At 43.2% G+C, this 18,930-nt stretch overlaps 3 protein-coding genes and 1 long non-coding RNA gene across 5 annotated transcripts in view, besides 3 other annotated features; 3 read left to right on the top strand and 1 right to left on the bottom strand.

Moving 5' to 3' along the window:
• Nucleotides 1-2,673, top strand: part of RASSF4 (Ras association domain family member 4) — a 36,090-nt gene extending 33,417 nt beyond the window's left edge. The window contains exon 11 of the mRNA NM_032023.4: nt 51-2,673. Within this exon, the coding sequence (NP_114412.2) occupies nt 51-111 (61 nt within the window). The 3' untranslated portion in view covers nt 112-2,673. The remainder of the gene's footprint in view (nt 1-50) is intronic.
• Nucleotides 714-7,585, bottom strand: ZNF22-AS1 (ZNF22 antisense RNA 1). Of its 2 annotated transcripts, NR_126421.2 has the most exons (4): nt 7,312-7,585; nt 7,068-7,198; nt 6,099-6,204; nt 714-988 (listed from the first exon to the last, which is right to left on the bottom strand). It is a non-coding gene; the product is annotated as a ZNF22 antisense RNA 1 (long non-coding RNA). The 2 variants fall into 2 exon arrangements; NR_164113.1 differs by lacking the exon at nt 714-988 and having other exon boundaries at nt 4,480-7,198.
• Nucleotides 818-9,165, top strand: LOC124902530 (uncharacterized). Its single transcript, XM_047426129.1, has 3 exons — nt 818-953; nt 1,587-1,723; nt 7,562-9,165. Exons 1-3 carry the CDS (start codon nt 818-820, stop codon nt 8,189-8,191), a joined length of 903 nt encoding a protein of 300 aa, XP_047282085.1. The 3' UTR covers nt 8,192-9,165.
• ZNF22 (zinc finger protein 22) lies at nt 7,705-12,108 on the top strand. The gene is made up of 2 exons (NM_006963.5): nt 7,705-7,760; nt 10,062-12,108. Exon 2 carries the CDS (start codon nt 10,151-10,153, stop codon nt 10,823-10,825), a length of 675 nt encoding a protein of 224 aa, NP_008894.2. The 5' UTR covers nt 7,705-7,760; nt 10,062-10,150; the 3' UTR covers nt 10,826-12,108.
• Nucleotides 7,745-8,094: a silencer, noted in NCBI's record as "silent region_2343". NCBI's record gives its function as "represses an Ori minimal core promoter by ATAC-STARR-seq in GM12878 lymphoblastoid cells {active_cell/tissue: GM12878}" and the evidence as "EXISTENCE:reporter gene assay evidence [ECO:0000049][PMID:35858748]".
• Nucleotides 7,745-8,321: a biological region, named in NCBI's record as "H3K27ac hESC enhancer GRCh37_chr10:45496487-45496987".
• Nucleotides 7,821-8,321: an enhancer, noted in NCBI's record as "H3K27ac hESC enhancer chr10:45496487-45496987 (GRCh37/hg19 assembly coordinates)". NCBI's record gives its function as "activates a minimal SCP1, AML or CMV promoter by ChIP-STARR-seq in primed H9 embryonic stem cells {active_cell/tissue: H9 hESC(primed)}" and the evidence as "EXISTENCE:reporter gene assay evidence [ECO:0000049][PMID:30033119]".
• Nucleotides 12,109-18,930: the final 6,822 nt, after the last annotated feature.

The raw sequence follows: 18,930 nt of genomic DNA on the forward strand, positions 1-18,930 counted from the left end.
CCCTGCCCTGTCTGGCCTCAGTGAGTCCTCTTGGCGATGTCTCCCTCCAGGTTCCAAGCCCTGCGTCTGACGATGCTGCAGCGCCTGGAGCAGCTGGTGGAGGCCAAGTAACTGGCCAACACCTGCCTCTTCCAAAGTCCCCAGCAGTGGCAGGTGTACACTGAGCCCTGGTTGCTGGCCCCGGCCGGTCACATTGACTGATGGCCACCGCCTGACGAATCGAGTGCCTGTGTGTCTACCTCTCTGAAGCCTGAGCACCATGATTCCCACAGCCAGCTCTTGGCTCCAAGATGAGCACCCACAGGAAGCCGACCCAGGCCTGAGGGGCCAGGAACTTGCTGGGTCAGATCTGTGTGGCCAGCCCTGTCCACACCATGCCTCTCCTGCACTGGAGAGCAGTGCTGGCCCAGCCCCTGCGGCTTAGGCTTCATCTGCTTGCACATTGCCTGTCCCAGAGCCCCTGTGGGTCCACAAGCCCCTGTCCTCTTCCTTCATATGAGATTCTTGTCTGCCCTCATATCACGCTGCCCCACAGGAATGCTGCTGGGAAAAGCAGGGCCTGCCAGCAGGTATGAGATCTAGCCTGCTTTCAGCCATCACCTTGCCACAGTGTCCCCGGCTTCTAAGCCTCCAATATCACCCTGTGAGCCTCGCACAGCTCAGCCCCAACACAGAGGTGAGACCAGGAATAAGGCCACAAGTATCTCACTTTCTCTGCAGAAATCAATCTTTACTTCATCAGAGAGACCTAAAGCGATTCTTACAAGGAGCTTGCTGCAAGAAACACGGTCATTCAATCACATTGAGGAGGGTCCACATGGCATTGAGAGGGTGCTGCCCGCTCAATGCCCAGCAGCAGCTCTGGAAGGCAGTGCTCAGCCCCATCACCACTGTCCCGTGGATGCCTGTGTACCTCTTGCCTTTTCTGGGCTTGCGTTTCTCTCCTCTAGTGGGTGGGGATGACTTTCAATGACTTTCAATACTTCCCCTGAAGGAAGAATGATAAGGAGAAATGTCTGTTTTGAGGAAAGGGCTTTGAATTCCCCAGATACTGAACAATTTGTGTTTGTGACTGATGGAGAATTTCAGGAATGAATGAGAAAGCCTTTGCGAAACTATGCAACAGTTTACATCAGTCATGTGAAGTATTTGTCTAAAACAGAGCAAACTGAAGACCAAATTATTCTCCTGTTGAGGTCCGTGGATGGCAGATTTAAAGGGAAGAACCACAAAGGCTTGCAAAGATAGGAGAGGCTCCATCTCTAATGCATGTAGAAGCTCCTTACGGGTGCCCATCAAGAGCATAGCTTGGAAGCCACCATGCTGTGCGGAACTGCGTCAGGGCAAATGTCACAGCAGGATTTCCCCAACCCAGCTCCATCATCACAGACACAGAGAGCTGCAGGGGAGGCCTGCCCACTGTTTTGTCGACTCTGCCCTCCTCTGGCAGCATAGATCCTTAGGTGCTCAATAAAGGTGTGCTGTATTGAACTGAAGAAGTGAGAACCAAGCTTTTTTTTTTTTTTTTGCTTTCTGTGCATCCACCCTGACCCCCGGCTCTAACTTCTGAAACTCTTATCCTAAAGGATGTGTGGCCATGTTTGGCAGAAGAGCCACAACTCGCTGCTCTAGGAGCCGACATGACTCCTTCATTTCTGTGCATGCCCTGGGGACTAGGGTGGAGCCTGAGGAGAGGCTGCCATGGAACACGCAGGCGTCACTGGTGGGAGCCTAGAGGTGACCTGGATGATGAGCAATAGAGTCACCCCGAGTCACAGAATCTTAGCATCAGGAGGGCCCCAAGAATCTTCCAGGCCAGGGGCTCAGGTGGGATGGAAGCAGGGCCTAGGAGAGGGTACAAAACAAATCAAACAGGAGCTCCCAGGTAATTGTACTCCCAAGCTATTATTTACAATCTCAGGTGGAGGACAGCTCCTGTCCCATTGTTCAGCTGTAACTGAGTGACTGCCTTGTGCCAGGCCTGTGCTCAGCCCTGGAGGCACAAAGATGGAGCCAGTCTGTCCTGTGTCTAGGGGTCTTCTCATCAGGAGAAGAAGGCCAGACACTGGAAGGGTCAAGAGATCAGCTGAGCAACGAACCGGCAAAGCTCCTGGGAGTGAGGTGGAGGCCAAGGCAGAGTTGGCTAAGAAGTGCATGTGGCGTCACAGGCCAAGATGCACCTGCCAGCTAGGAGCAGGCCAGGTCCTGGCACACAGGAAGCCAGTGGAGCAGGAGACCCTCCCTAAGTACCAGCCTGTTTGGTTGGTTGGTTTGCTTTTGAAAGTTATTACAATATTATTTAAGGCCTTTTCGGATAAGTTCACTTTTAAAGTAGGTGTTATCAATCTAATTTCTGAACGTTATGGGTCAGAAAAATCACTAGCAAGTGGCTCAGAAAAAGGGAAAAGGTACACTTCTGCAATCAGCTGAGGAGTTCACACCTTTTTTTCTAAATCAACATCATATTTGCTGTTCAGAGGCAATCTGAAAAGCTGCAAATTCAGCTCACCTCAACCCCATAATTTCAAACGTTAGAGGCTGGTCTCTGTGGTTTCCTACTGGTTCCTGTGGGGAGCTCCCGCTTTCTTTCTACATAGAGCTTAGGGTATTTCTCATATGCCCCATTGGCTACCTAGTGTCTCAGGTAATAAACGTATCCGAAGATAAAGCAAAGATTGCTATGGGAGAGTGTTGTCTCCTAAAATAGGACTGTCTTGCCAGGCCAGGCCTCAAGAACCAGAGAGAATAATAAACAGCACAGGATGAAATCAGCATGATTGCAAAAGGACTGGACTCAGGAAAAACAAGTTTGTTTGCCCAGAACAAATTACCAGAAGGGATCAAAAACATCTTGTTTTTCTTTGGTGATAACCATATGCTACCGGATTGGAATGTTTACCAGAAAATGGAATAAAGACCTTCCCACTGGCAAAATAGAGCCAGGGTTCACCCAGGATACATCTGGCCCCTTAGTCCCATGGAAACAAGGCCCAAAGCTTATCCAGTCTGACCAGATGATTTGTGGAGGAACCAGCCCTGCAAAATGTGTCCCGGGTGTGTAGGACGCAGGTGCCTTGCAGCTGCGGAGGGGCAGCGGGATATCCTTGCCAGGTGCAGTGGTGGGCAGCATCCCCCTGCCCTCAGTTCCTCAGTGGTGATCAGACAGGAAGCTTGGTCGATCAGAGCCAAGCAACTGAGTATAAAAACAGCCAGATGCATGGGCTATATTTAGGCCCTGAGAGCTGCGATTGTTTGGGATCAGGCTAGCTGCTCACGTGCCCTGCCTGAGACTCACGTTGTGCAGGGTAGGGCCCTGTGCCCTCCTGGTCAACTTTTAACAGAGATGTTTTCTCAGACCTAGGAATGGGAACTCCCAGGGTTTTCTTTCCCAGAGAGTCCAAAGGAAACAGAAAGCCAAGTCTCAGGCTTGGTGGAAAGAACCATTGTTCAGGATCCCTGGGCTGAGAGTTCTTGGTGGGAGACGGACCACTGTTGTTACCGCACATGAGCCACACCTATAACTGCCTTTCTGGCACTTGGGCTGGGGATCCATGTTGCCAAACACAGACCCAAGGCAGCAGTGCTCCCTGCTGAGACAGCGTGTGTGTGTGTGTGTGTGTGTGTGTGTGTGTGTGTCTGTGTGTGTGTGCGCAAGCCAGTGGTGTGCAGGGGACAAAGACATAGGAAAATGAAACTGTCTTGCCAGGATTTTTCTCACCCCAGAAGACTCTTTTTCCTGGAATGAACCCTTCAAATACCACTGGGCTCAGGGACACACTGGTCCCTGCTGGGTAGTTTCCCAGAGATGTCCCAGCCACTAAGGGATCTGGCCTCTCTTGGGCCAGAATCCCCAGAAATATGTGCAGAAAGATGCCCAGACTGTGTCCACCCCCTGCCTCCCACACCCTTGTTCCCTTTCTCCCTTGTGTTTTGTAAATATCATGCGTGACCATTTTCAATAATTTAATTTGCATAAAAATTGCCTAGAATCCCATTTGGGAGATAGACTGTTATAGAGAGGTTAATAGGCTCTGGAGCCAGGCTTTCTGATTTCAAAGTCTGGCTTTGCCACTTACAAATGTGCATGACCTTGGGCGAGTTTCTTGCCTCAGTTTTCTCATCTGTGAAATGGGGATTCTGTGTGGAAGAAAACAAAGTGCTTTCTACTATTCTCTCACTCAGCAGCAATAATCACAAAAGACTTCTGTGACCAAACGGGGTGAGGGATTCTCCCCACACACCAACCAAGCAATCATTTCTGCAGGGACACCAGCTGGGTGTCCTCTAATTCAGTTTTGACACTATCTACTTGGAGATGGCATCACCTCCCATAGGTTGAGGGCTCAGTCCCATAAGATGGTCTCCACCCTTCCCATTAGTTACAAGCCCTGGCCTCTGGAACTTGTGAACTACCCACTTCAAGTTGGGATTCTCGTGACCCCCTCCTTGGGTTAATTTGCAAGAGCGGTTCACAGAACTCAGCGAAACACATTTCCTGGTTTATTACAAATGATATTCCAAAGGATATAGAAAAAGAAATGCATATAGTGAGGTATGAAGGAAAGGGTGCGGAGCTTCCATACTCCTTCCCCTTTGCACCCCCCGACCCCAGGTGGCACCCTCCAGTAACATCCATGTGTTCAGGTATCCAGAAGCTCTCTGAACCCAGTCCTTTGGGAGCTTTTATGGAGACTTTGTAACACAGGCATGATTGATTAATCCATCAGCCATTGGTGATCCACTTCACCTTCAGTTGCCCTCCTCCCCAGATGTTGATGGGGTGGAGCTGAAATTGCCATCCTTCTAATCCTGCTGTGGTCTTTCCAGTGACCAGCCCCATCCTGAAGCTACCCAGGGGCTGCCAGGCATCAGTCAACTCATCAGCATATAAAAAGACATCACTTTGGAGATTCTAAGGATTTTAGAAGTTGTATGTCAGGAAACGGGGAGAAGATCAACTATGTATTTCACAATATCACAGGATAATAACAATTCCTATCTCTTACGGTTGGTGGGAGGTACATTAGTCAACTTTAATGCAATAATACCACCAAGAATCTCAGTGTTACAAGAGCATTTGTTTCTCTAACATTACGTGGGACCGTTGTGGTTACATGTGAGCTTCTGTGGCTCTGCTCCATGTGTCTTATCATCCTGGTTCCTAGACTAAAGGGGCAGCCCCTACTTGGGACATGCTATTCTCAAGGCAGAGGGAAAGAGCAGAGTCCTGGCAGAAACACAATGACTTGAAGTTTCTTCTGGGATGTGATGTACCCCTTGCATCCAGTCACATGCGGTCAGCCAATTCAAATCAGTGGTCAAGTCAACATCAGTGGGACAGGCATGTGGTTCACCAGGAGGCACCGGAGTCACACCACAAAGTGCAGGGACCAAAACCAGAGAAGGTGGAGCAAACCCTCAGGAATAATCATGCCTCAGGAATCTCACGTGAGATCCTCAAATGCTGCAAACAGTGCCTGGCACACAATAAGCACTCAATAAGTGTTAACTATTATTATACTAACAGCTAGGCTGAAGGCATAAAACCCTACCTGCTTTCTCTCCCTGTCTTTTTCCCATTCTCCTTTACCCTCCTCTCCTTCATATATTTTTCTGGCTCTCCCTCCTCTCCATCCTTACTGCCCAGGACTCTGTCCACACTTAGGGACACACACCCCTTTATTTCCTGACTTTCGTCTCTCTCTTTTTAAAAAATCCATCCTCGTTTACCCAATGCTTTAGTTGACATACCTCTGGCCCTTCTATGGCTGGCCCAGTTGTTTTCAGGTATAGGAAAAAGGGATAATCCATCTTTATGTAGACATTAAAGGAGTTAGTTTTAATTAGTAACTACCTTACTAACAAAATGGCTTTTTAAAAATTATCTTTTTATTTTAGTGTACATAGAGCAGACAGTCCCAACGGGTCATGTTTGCTCCTGACGCTTTTCCTAAACCATTTCTAGATCTCTGGCCATTGCCCTTTACCCCAAACTCTCCAACCACCAGCATCAACCAACTTATAACAATTTAATAATAAAAGTAACAACGACTCTCATTTCTTCTGTGTTATACATTGTGCTAAGTGCCTTACATTACCTCATTTAATCACTGCAATAGTCCAGATACTCTCTAGATTGCGAGTGGAGCTTCTTTGTCCAGACCTCATTCAGCTTTGTGCTTTGCCATATGCAGAGACAGCTCCCTACAGAGCAGAAAGCCCCAACTTAAGAGAATGAACCTATGACTTAGTTTAGCCTCCACCAACAAACCACTGTATTACTTCAGGCAGGTCAGCCTCTCTTGCTTCAGTTTACTGATTTGCAAGACAGATATGATAATCTGTGCTTCATGAGACTATGGTGAAGATGAATAACCAGAAGATAAGATGTAAAAGTACTTTGTAAACAATAAGGCATCTTATAAATTCATTCATTCAACAGCTATTTACTGAGTGTCTGTTCCCTGCTGAGCACTGTTTTCAGCACTGCAGACACAATAAAGAACTAAAGAGACAGATCATGAGAGGCATCGGGTGCCACTGCGAGGTCCTTGGCTTTGCTCTAATAAGTTGGGAAGCCTTTGAAGGTTTTGAACAAATGAATGACATGATCTAACTTAGGTTTAAGAGGATTACTCTGGGGCCGTGAATAGACTGTAGGGCAACCCGTCTGGAAGCCAATATAATAATCCAGAAGGTGGATGAAGGTGGCTTGGTGGTTATAGCAGTGGAAGTGTTGAAAGTGGCTTGATAATGAATATATTTTAACGATGAAGCCGACAGAATTTGTGGATAAATCACAGGTGAATTTTGGATGAAAAAAAGAAGAGACAACAGTGACATCAAGGTTTTTGGCTTGAGCAACTGGAAAGATGATGGGATCTTCACCCATCCCTGGGAAGAAGACTGTTGCAAGAACAGGTTAGGTAGATATCAGGAATTCATTTGGGGGGTATGTTAGGTTTGGGATGTCCATTACACATGCAAATGCAGCTCTTGAGTAATCAGTTCGATATACAAGTCTAAAGTTCAATAACATTTATGTCCCACAGTCAGACTGGAGTTACCAATGCGGGAGTCTTCAGCATGCAGCAATAGCATTGGAAGCCAAAAGGCGGAGGAGCTCCCCAGGGAGTGGGGGAACACGGAGGTCAGCTGGTCAGATGACTGAGCACGGCCAGGATGGCTGAGGAGGAGCCTGGAAGGAATAAGAACAAAGAGAGATCATTACTAATGAGCAACAAAAGGGGTGTGTTGAAATCAGACTTTGGAGCCACAAAGAACCATTCCAATTCTGGGTCGTCCGCTTACACACGGTGAACGGAGCACATTTCTTCTCTGAGCCTTGGTTCCTTTCCTGTAAATGGAGTATAACCACTCCCATCTTGCAGGAGCTTTTTGGTGATAATTAAGGTGACTTCGTGAAAAGTACCAGGGTCTCAAAAATCTCAAAATTTGTGGAAAGTATGCAGTTTCTAGGTTGGAGAGGCTAGAGTTTGGTTTCAAAAGCCTCGACCACACACAGGGGCGGTTACAGCTCTTGAGGTCCCGGGGGTCACAGGACGCCTTCCGAGTTGGGGGGAGGAGAAAACAAAACCACAGGAAGAAACGAACAACGCTTTCGGGTGGGCCCGGGACCATAGAGGGTCGCTCCGCCACTTTCCTAGAGCGACCGCGGCGGCGCCAGAGCGCGGCGAGGCCCTCACTTCCGGCGGCGCGGGAGGCGCCCAGCGAGCCAGAGTGGTGGCTGGTCCCGCGCGGTGAGTGGGATTGGGGCACTTGGGGCGCTCGGGGCCTGCGTCGGATACTCGGGTCCGCTCGGGAGCGCGCTGGCCGCAACGAGGGCGGCGCGGGCCCGGGCGATGGCGTGGCTTGCGTCTCCCGCCTCCGGGCAGGGCCTGGCCGCCGGGCGGGGGCGGGAGGGCCACGCGGGCCCAGGGTGGGGCCGCGGCCTGCGCGGCGGGCGGGCCGGGTCAATGAGGAGCGGCCGGCGGAGTGCTGGGAACGGGAGGCTTGGACTGGGGGCCCGGGCGAGGCGCGGCCCGCGGCGGGTGGAACTGGGCGGGTGAGCAGCAGCCCCGGCCCCTTCCGTCGCTCGGAGCGTTCGAGGACTAGATACGTGGAACAAATGCTTAGGCAGCACAGGGCTGCTCTGAGCGGTTTTCAGATTCAGACTCATTGCAACTTCTAACATCTTGATGGTGTTGCCACTTTATCATTACCCTCCCCATTTTACGAGGAAACTGAGGCACATTCCAGTTAGCTGGGTGTGCAAGAACAGCAGCTTCTGTCACTCAGGTTTAACTTCGTGCTTGCCCCTGCTGGGGAGCTATGCAAAGCACGGGTCGCCGCGCTGGACTGAGCAATGGAAGATGTGGCTGCCACTAAGAGTACAGGCTCTGGAGTCAAACTGCTAGGGTCTGGGAACCCGGCCAGTGCCTTCTAGCATTGTGCCCTCGTTTCCTTAACTTAAAACGGAAATAACTGCATAAAGGTGCCAGGAGAATTAAAGAGCTAGCACAGAATCAAGTTACACAGTGTCTGGCACATACTAGTATGATTGCCTCATCCGTAGGTGGATTTGACAGTCTGAGTTTCTGACTAGATCTGACTTCCATTGTATTAAATGCGTGTGCTTTTATGTATAATGACCATTATAGTTATTAAAAAAAAAAAAAAGCAACACCAACACCATGTACCTAACACAATGTCTCCTGTGTGGTAGATGTTCTGTAAATATTTGCTTAAGTTAAGGAGTGGGTAGTCCTAACTGTAATCTTGTGTTATATGCGGCTTACTCTTACGCTGACCATAATTACAGCTGATGTAATTATTAAATATCCAGATAAAGTCCTGGACCTAAAGTCTCAATTATACAATAAGATGAAAGGAAGGCAAGAAAAATTATGTTTTTGTTTTCATTTATTTGCTTTATATGTTTGTATGCAAAGAAACCCAGAATAATTGTTTCTATTTTAAATTCCACATTCTGACACAAGATAATGAAAAATAGTTCCAATAATTTTATTGCTTTTGAAGTTCTAGATTTTCCGACATTGCCACCTATGTGGGGTTTGTAGGGGTTTTTGTTGGTTTGTTTTGGCCGTTATTTTAAATAGCCACAAGTCAGCCTTATAAATAAATAAAATCATTTGAAATTTTGAATTTTGCAGCATTTGGGTATTCTAAAAATTCCATCCTAGTTTTACATGTAAACTCATTTTCTCCCCCCTCTCCTTTTCTTGTGTCCTACCTACCATGCGTTTTCTACTCAGTTTCATTCCACTTTCTGGTAAAAGTTCTTTTGCAGTTTTTCTGTCTCCGAAAACAGTACTTTCGTTTTGGGTTTTCAACAAATTGCTTTCTTGGATCATTAGGATCTATAAAAACCAATAATAAAGCGTGTCTTCATAGACTAAGTAAACCTACCACTCCCTGTAGAGAAGTTTCAATTTTCAAAACACTTTATGCTACAGAATTAGAGCTAAACTGTCATCTAGAGCTATGGAAATCGAATGCTAAATACAGATAAACAGGAATATATCATAAAGTAGTGTAATTTGTCATTTCTTATTCATTTGGATACCTTAGGCAGTTACTAGTTAGTAGAAGTTTAACATGGAACTAAATATTAAAGCATAGTAATGTTCTGTTACACAAATTTTGATTGTCTTTTGGAGTTACTCCATTCCCATTAAGATTTACCTTATCTCCACTTTTTAGTTCTTCAAAATTATGTACTCATTTGGTAATGCTTGGAAGATTTATATTTCACCTGATCACTTTTAATTTGTCTTGTCCCAATAGACAGAAACTCCAGTGGTAAACTCAGTCAAAATTTGGTGATATTTGTTAAGCTTAAACTCTGGAATTGTTAGAATTACTTTGCAAGTATTTCCCCCAAATTTCCCCCCATATTATCTTTGTTTGCATTTATACTTTTTAAATTTAAACATGAATGCAATTTTGGTGGGTTGAAGAGATATTAAAATTGAATAGTTAACAGATATCTGTAATTTTTTTTCTGATCATCTCTAAATTTTTTTTCCTTCTACACACAGAAAATTCTGAGCTGTACACCTCTAGGAAATGAAACACTAGTTCAGAAGAAGCCTGTAAACTCTCTTACAAATACATTTGGTTATTCACCATGAGGTTAGCAAAGCCTAAAGCGGGTATTTCTCGGAGCTCAAGCCAAGGAAAGGCCTATGAGAACAAGCGCAAAACAGGCCGGCAGCGGCAGAAGTGGGGCATGACTATTCGATTTGACTCAAGCTTCAGTAGACTCAGAAGAAGCTTGGATGACAAACCCTATAAATGTACTGAATGTGAAAAGAGTTTCAGTCAGAGTTCAACTCTTTTTCAACACCAGAAGATCCATACTGGAAAGAAATCCCATAAATGTGCTGATTGTGGGAAAAGTTTCTTTCAGAGTTCTAATCTCATTCAGCATCGACGGATCCATACGGGGGAAAAGCCCTACAAATGTGATGAGTGTGGAGAAAGCTTCAAACAGAGCTCAAATCTCATTCAGCACCAGAGAATTCATACTGGAGAAAAACCCTATCAGTGTGATGAGTGTGGCCGGTGTTTCAGCCAGAGCTCCCACCTTATTCAACATCAGAGAACCCACACTGGGGAGAAACCCTACCAGTGCAGTGAATGTGGCAAATGTTTCAGTCAGAGCTCTCATCTGAGGCAGCACATGAAGGTGCATAAAGAAGAGAAGCCTCGTAAAACCCGGGGCAAAAATATCAGGGTGAAGACTCACTTACCCTCTTGGAAAGCTGGTACAGGAAGGAAGTCTGTGGCTGGTCTCCGTTAAGTATAGGGCTTTTTGACAGCTTTTTGAGACCTCTTAAGAAAAAATAAAAAGTAAAAAATGAAAGGAATCTTTTTTAGAAATAGAGATGCTTTATAGTAGATCACTTAAATACTGGATCTTTTGCTAGTGTGAAAACATTGGGAATTTAATGACATTATTGAGCTGAAAGAAATTACATGAGTCCAGCTACCCTCATTTCTTTTTTATGTGACATGGAGCACAAAGAACTGAAAATATGTTTTGAGGGAGCATGACATCCTTGACCTCATTTGAAATTACTTCCATTTTCAAAAACCATCATGTTTTGTAGATACATTTTGAGAAAAACCATCATGTTTTGAGGATACATTTGTGAAAGTGCAGGCATGCCAATGACTACTCAGTTTTAGGACTTTCTGTGGAAGAAAAAAGGGAGAAGAAATCAATTCCACTACTTTTGAAGTTCTGCAACAGATGAGATTTTGTTTGTAAAGTTTTGTAGTATATTAACCATTGGTTTATCACTCTAGATTCAACATATTAAAATGTATTCAAGCTCACAGATTTTTAATCAGTAAGGCCTATCTATATTAGTTGTCTTTTATTTCTTCTCCTTGTGGACAGTTGTTAATGAAAGGAGTAAGGATTTCCCTTTTTTTGTTTTGTTTGTTTTGTTTTTTTTAACCAAATTCTTAGAGATACTATAGAATCCAAATGAGAACTGAATTGGACCTCAAGTCTTCTATTCCTACTAATAGAGTTCTTTGTGATGGTAACTGCTGTGTCGTTTGTTTTCCACAAGTTGGGATGGATTCATGTCGATACATCCCCATGCCCTTGACCTCTTCTGGCATTCTCCTGTGCTCTGACAAACTGAGCCAGCCTTTTAGATCTACATGAATAAACAAACTATTTTACCAAGAAAAATCTCAGCTTGCTTACTGCTTAATTAAAAACCTACAATTTACACACCTCCCTGCCTTCAAGACTGTGAGCTTTGGATAGCCCTGCTTAAATGTTTGTCAACAACAAGAGTCGTAATGTGTCAGTACATTGTAGCTCCTTTGAAATTTAACTCTTTCTGTGTTACATGAATTGTTTTAAGGAGTCCGGCAAACATGTTTCTTCACTTCCATGAGAATGGTGCCAAGTGTCAGACTCTAATGAGCCCTCAGCTCAGGTTTTAATTTCTATTGAATGCTAACATTCTTCTGATTTTTTGGTATCTTTTATAATCATATCGGTTTCTGCTGTATTAATGACAATTATTCATGAAAATAAAAAATGAAATATTTTGTATACTACTACCTTCTGTTTATTTTTCTTCTGGGGAATTGTTTTAATTATTTAGACAATAGATCTAAAGTCACAGCTTTTGGATGGATCACTTGTTTTGCCTGTTTCTGATTTCCTCAAACTTGAACTTTGCCTTCCTCCTGGCCTTGCATTTGAGTGCAGGGCCATAGAAGTTGGCCTTGTTATGGCCTTGTTGACAAGTGCCATTCAACAAGATATTCACAAGGTGTTTTGTAAACATGAGGTGATCACAGTTTTTTATGAAAGCAGTGATCTTTGGCCGCCCTATTATATCCAAGTCACTCCTTGGCAGGATTGTGGCTATGGGGCCCTTTTGAGGATCTATCAATGCTATTCACATTAGTTTTGTGTATGCAATAGCTTCTGGGTAGGACCAACACTTCTTTCTTACATTTCAGGAATTTGCCCATTTTGACAGCAAACAGGGCTGTGCACAGTAGTGATATTCAAAATAATTTAACGAGCAGTATGCCCTTCAGGACAGCAGAGAAATTGTCACAGACTAAGGTCTCCTATGCGCTTTGAGCATGGGGATGCATTACTCTCTTCACTGTGTTGGGGTATGTGGAGAGGAGCACAGATGAGGGATGTTTTTGGTTAATACAGCTCTGGACCAGTGGGAGATAGATGGAGCCAGCCTTGATCTAGAGATGTCCCAGGGTTTTCAGAGTGTAGTGACTATGGGATTTGGGGTTGTCTTCCTTGGGTAGAAGGTATGTTGTGTGTGGAAGGAGGAAAGAGGGATATTTGGTGAGCAAATACCCAAATACCCCACGTTTCCTGGCACCCTTACAGTGCTGTGAGAAACAACACTAGGTCTGCCCATTTGAGTTAGTGATGTTTTTAAAAGCTGTTGGGTGATTCTCTGTGCTCCTATTTCCCAGGCCAAAGTGGAGCTGACATTTAGGTAGTTCCTGAGTCTCTTGCCAACCTGCTTTAGGTATCCCATGAGTGAGAAATAAACTGTTGAGATAGGCCACAGATTTCAGTGTAGATTTGGTACCTGTCCTGATTGATGCACCCATCCTGCTTTTTTTGTGCATCTCTGGAGCCAATCATCAGTCTTAAAAGTTCTATCCTTTTAGTGGCCTGATGAGAAAAAACAGCTTTTTGAGTTCATATTGAGAAACACTGCCTCGCCTCCCCCACATTGTCTTTCTGTTTCTAGCCGATACTCTGTAATACTTCCATACTTCCATACTTCCTTTTTTTTTTTTTTTTTTTTTTTTTTTTTTGTCCTGGGACCCTTCTCTTTGTTCCTTACTGAGACTTAAAGGCAGCATTAAAGCTTGTTTGTGTGTTTTATTTGTATCCCATGACTCTCTGGCCTGGGTTGAAAGTCCCCACACACAGAGTTGCTAGAATGTCCTGTGATATCAGCCCTGGAAGTTGAAAATCTGTCCTGAGACTGATATGTGTCTTCAAACATGGGAGAAAGGGGTGACTGTCCCTCCACCATGCAGAGTCTGAGTGTGACAGGACCCATGAGAGGATGCTGAGTGGGTGCCAGGAGGACTCACCTCCAAGAGCAAGAGCCTGGTCCCTGTTGCACATTGATTTCAAACAGACCAACCAGCTTGGACAATTGAACTTCCCAATTGCAGTCATGATGAACTGAAGACCAGAGGACCTTCCTCCAATTTCCTGGTCCACATGAAGCGCTAGATTGTAATGTAACCCTAGATATGTTGAGGGGACTCCAAAGTAGGATTTCTCACCACACTGGTAAAATAGGGGGACTGCCTATTTTAGTCTCATTTAGGGATAAGTATAATGGCTGTTTCCTAAATTCAGAGTTCTGTAGTAAACTGATAACTAAGAGATTCTTTTCTGTCATTTTTCAAATAAAGCATTGTGACATCTGGTGAAAGAATTACTTTTTTCTTGTTTTATTGTTCAGAAGAGGTGCAAATTAATCCAGAACAGTTTGAAATGGATAAATTTTACTGCTGAGTGATGGAAAGAGACAAAAATGACAGAAACATAATTCATAGCTGCATTCCTTACAGTAAATCCAAGCACAAATAGCTCTATTGCTTAGAATCATTGCATTTAAATATAGAAAGAACAAATCTTTCATAGTCTTTTTATGGATGATAATTTTTTTCCTTTGATCCACATGGTTGGTAATGTATCAGAATAGATTGAGCAACTTAGTCCTACTAAGTAATGGCATTTTATAATTCTGGTGTTATAATATCTGACAGTATTTTATTTAGAACTTTTACGTCAATATACATCAACTGACATAGTTGTAAGTTTCTTTGTATGTTATCTTTGTCATAAATGTCGATTACGTCGTAGAGCATTTCAGGAACTGTGCCAAGTTCATAACACCAGGTTACTAATGTGTTATGCTACCTCCCAATTTGTCAAGAGACATCTCAGGCACAGATTTTTTGAATTCAGGAATTCAGGATGGGTATGCCAATTTAAATGAAGCTTCTGAGATGAGTAACCTTAAATCCCAGAGAGAACCTGGTTATATCTCTATGTTCAGGGCAATCTAAATGGGTCCCCTAGGATACAAGAAGCCTCTCTATTCAGTGGGATTAAAAGGCTAAATATCAGAATTTAAGCAGGTGAGTCAAAGAGGGGACAATATGATGATTCAGGGGCAAACAGTCATGAAGAGAAGTTCAGGTTCAGTGAGAAAACTGAGTCCATTCTGTGTATTCCACATAGTTTAATATAGCTAGTTAGACTTTCTGTTATGTCCATGTTTCTTCTTTGCCTGATAAGTTCACCACTTCAGTTTAACCCAGCATCTGTATTCCATTTTCTCTATTAGAATAATTGGTCTGGTTTCTCTTTTTGTGGCTAGACTTTGGCTGAAAGGACAATAATAAGAGAAATAAAACTACAAGGAGCTACTATTTCTTATGTATCAAAAGTGTAAAACCTACTCTGTTGGTAAGGCTGTGGAGAACCAGCCAAACTAAGGCTGATGGTGGGATACAAAATGTTACAACCCATACTGAGGAGGGATTTGGCAATATCTAGCAGAAGTATATATGCATTTACTCTCTGATCCAGAAATTATATTTCCAGAGTTTGTTTCCAAAGATACAGTACCAACAATATGAAACAACGTATACACATGGCTGCACATTTTTATAGAAAAAACTCATTTCCCACTAAGGCATCTGGCTCCAATGTAGTGTCATGTATTTGTTCAATAATAGGCTTTTTATGATGCTCTCATGACCTTTGCTTGTGCTGTAGTACCATACGTCATTTTCAGAAGTCAGCTTGCGTCGCTTTGTGCAGGACCCAGAGTGTAGTTTAGTAAGTGCTCTTGAGGAGATTAAGTGTCACTGCTGATGCAAACCAGCAAATTAAATTCCCAGGCTCAGTTGGAAATACTTCAGTCCAGTGAGGGCGCTGCATAAGTAGAGGAAATAGCCACATCAAAACTTCATTGTTAGAAGACACTTTTTCTATTTGACGTTACACAAAACTGTCACTAGATGGCAGCAAAGGAGAGATCATGGAAAACAGCGTGTCCTGTAGTTTCTCCACATTCAACTTGCACAGGTTGAGTGTCCCTTATCTGAAATGCTGGAGACCGGATGTGTGTCAGAATTCAGATTTTTAATTATTTTTTGGAATATTTGTATGTACATGATGAGGTATCTTGGGGATGGGACTCAAGTCTAAACATGAAGTTCATGTGTTTATTATATCCCTTGTATACATAGCCTGAAGGTAATATTTTTAATAATTCTGCACATGAAACAAAGTTTTGACTGTGACCTATCACATGAGGTCAGGTGAGGAATTTTCCACTTGTGGCGTCACATTGACATTCAAAAAGTTGGGTTTTTTTTTAATTTTATTTATTATTATTATACTTTAAGTTTTAGGGTACATGTGCACAATGTGCAGGTTAGTTACATATGTATACGTGTGCCATGCTGGTGCGCTGCACCCACTAACTCGTCATCTAGCATTAGGTATATCTCCCAATGCTATCCCTCCCCCTTCCCCCACCCCACAACAGTCCCCAGAGTGTGATGTTCCCCTTCCTGTGTCCATGTGTTCTCATTGTTTAATTCCCACCTATGAGTGAGAATATGCAGTGTTTGGTTTTTTGTTCTTGCGATAGTTTACTGAGAATGATGATTTCCAATTTCATCCATGTCTCTACAAAGGACATGAACTCATCATTTTTTATGGCTGCATAGTATTCCATGGTGTATATGTGCCACATTTTCTTAATCCAGTCTATCATTGTTGGACATTTGGGTTGGTTCCAAGTCTTTGCTATTATGAATAATGCCGCAGTAAACATACGTGTGCATGTGTCTTTATAGCAGCATGATTTATAGTCCTTTGGGTATATACCCAGTAATGGGATGGCTGGGTCAAATGGTATTTCTAGTTCTAGATCCCTGAGGAATCGCCACACTGACTTCCACAATGGTTGAACTAGTTTATAGTCCCACCAACAGTGTAAAAGAGTTCCTATTTCTCCATATCCTCTCCAGCACCTGTTGTTTCCTGACTTTTTAATGATTGCCATTCTAACTGGTGTGAGATGGTATCTCATTGTGGTTTTGATTTGCATTTCTCTGATGGCCAGTGATGGTGAGCATTTTTTCATGTGTTTTTTGGCTGCATAAATGTCTTCTTTTGAGAAGTGTCTGTTCATGTCCTTTGCCCACTTTTTGATGGGGTTGTTTGTTTTTTTCTTGTAAATTTGTTTGAGTTCATTGTAGATTCTGGATATTAGCCCTCTGTCAGATGAGTAGGTTGCAAAAATTTTCTCCCATTTTGTAGGTTGCCTGTTCACTCTGATGGTAGTTTCTTTTGCTGTGCAGAAGCTCTTTAGTTTAATTAGATCCCATTTGTCAATTTTGGCTTTTGTTGCCATTGCTTTTGGTGTTTTAGACATGAAGTCCTTGCCCATGCCTATGTCCTGAATGGTAATGCCTAGGTTTTCTTCTAGGGTTTTTATGGTTTTAGGTCTAACGTTTAAGTCTTTAATCCATCTTGAATTGATTTTTGTATAAGGTGTAAGGAAGGGATCCAGTTTCAGCTTTCTACATATGGCTAGCCAGTTTTCCCAGCACCATTTATTAAATAGGGAATCCTTTCCCCATTGCTGGTTTTTCTCAGGTTTGTCAAAGATCAGATAGTTGTAGATATGCAGCGTTATTTCTGAGGGCTCTGTTCTGTTCCATTGATCTATATCTCTGTTTTGGTACCAGTACCATGCTGTTTTGGTTACTGTAGCCTTGTAGTATAGTTTGAAGTCAGCTAGTGTGATGCCTCCAGCTTTGTTCTTTTGGCTTAGGATTGACTTGGCGATGCAGGCTCTTTTTTGGTTCCATATGAACTTTAAAGTAGTTTTTTCCAATTCTGTGAAGAAAGTCATTGGTAGCTTGATGGGGATGGCATTGAATCTATAAATTACCTTGGGCAGTATGGCCATTTTCATGATATTGATTCTTCCTACCCATGAGCATGGAATGTTCTTCCATTTGTTTGTATCCTCTTTTATTTCATTGAGCAGTGGTTTGTAGTTCTCCTTGAAGAGGTCCTTCACATCCCTTGTAAGTTGGATTCCTAGGTATTTTATTCTCTTTGAAGCAATTGTGAATGGGAGTTCACTCATGATTTGGCTCTCTGTTTGTCTGTTGTTGGTGTATAAGAATGCTTGTGATTTTTGTACATTGATTTTGTATCCTGAGACTTTGCTGAAGTTGCTTATCAGCTTAAGGAGATTTTGGGCTGAGACAATGGGGTTTTCTAGATATACAATCATGTCATCTGCAAACAGAGACAATTTGACTTCCTCTTTTCCTAATTGAATACCCTTTATTTCCTTCTCCTGCCTAATTGCCCTGGCCAGAACTTCCAACACTATGTTGAATAGGAGTGGTGAGAGAGGGCATCCCTGTCTTGTGCCAGTTTTCAAAGGGAATGCTTCCAGTTTTTGCCCATTCAGTATGATATTGGCTGTGGGTTTGTCATAGATAGCTCTTACTATTTTGAGATACGTCCCATCAATACCTAATTTATTAAGAGTTTTTAGCATGAAGCATTGTTGAATTTTGTCAAAGGCCTTTTCTGCATCTATTGAGATAATCATGTGGTTTTTGTCTTTGGTTCTGTTTATATGCTGAATTACATTTATTGATTTGGGTATATTGAACCAGCCTTGCATCCCAGTGATGAAGCCCACTTGATCATGGTGGATAAGCTTTTTGATGTGCTGCTGAATTCAGTGTGCCAGTATTTTATTGAGTATTTTTGCATCAATGTTCATCAAGGACATTGGTCTAAAATTCTCTTTTTTGCTTGTGTCTCTGCCCGACTTTGGTATCAGGATGATGCTGGCCTCATAAAATGAGTTAGGGAGGATTCCCTCTTTTTCTATTGATTGGAATAGTTTCAGAAGGAATGGTACCAGTTCCTCCTTGTACCTCTGGTAGAATTCGGCTGTGAATCCATCTGGTCCTGGACTCTTTTTGGTTGGTAAGCTATTGATTATTGCCACAATTTCAGAGCCTGTTATTGGTCTATTCAGAGACTCAACTTCTTTCTGGTTTAGTCTTGGGAGAGTGTATGTGTCGAGGAATGTATCCATTTCTTCTAGATTTTCTAGTTTATTTGCGTAGAGGTGTTTGTAGTATTCTCTGATGGTAGTTTGTATTTCTGTGGGATCGGTGGTGATATCCCCTTTGTCATTTTTTATTGCGTCTATTTGATTCTTCTTTTTTTCTTTATTAGTCTTGCTAGCAGTCTATCAATTTTGTTGATCCTTTCAAAAAACCAGCTCCTGGATTCATTAATTTTTTGAA

The sequence above is a fragment of the Homo sapiens genome, chromosome 10, assembly GCF_000001405.40.
Source record: "Homo sapiens chromosome 10, GRCh38.p14 Primary Assembly".
NCBI lineage: Eukaryota > Metazoa > Chordata > Mammalia > Primates > Hominidae > Homo > Homo sapiens.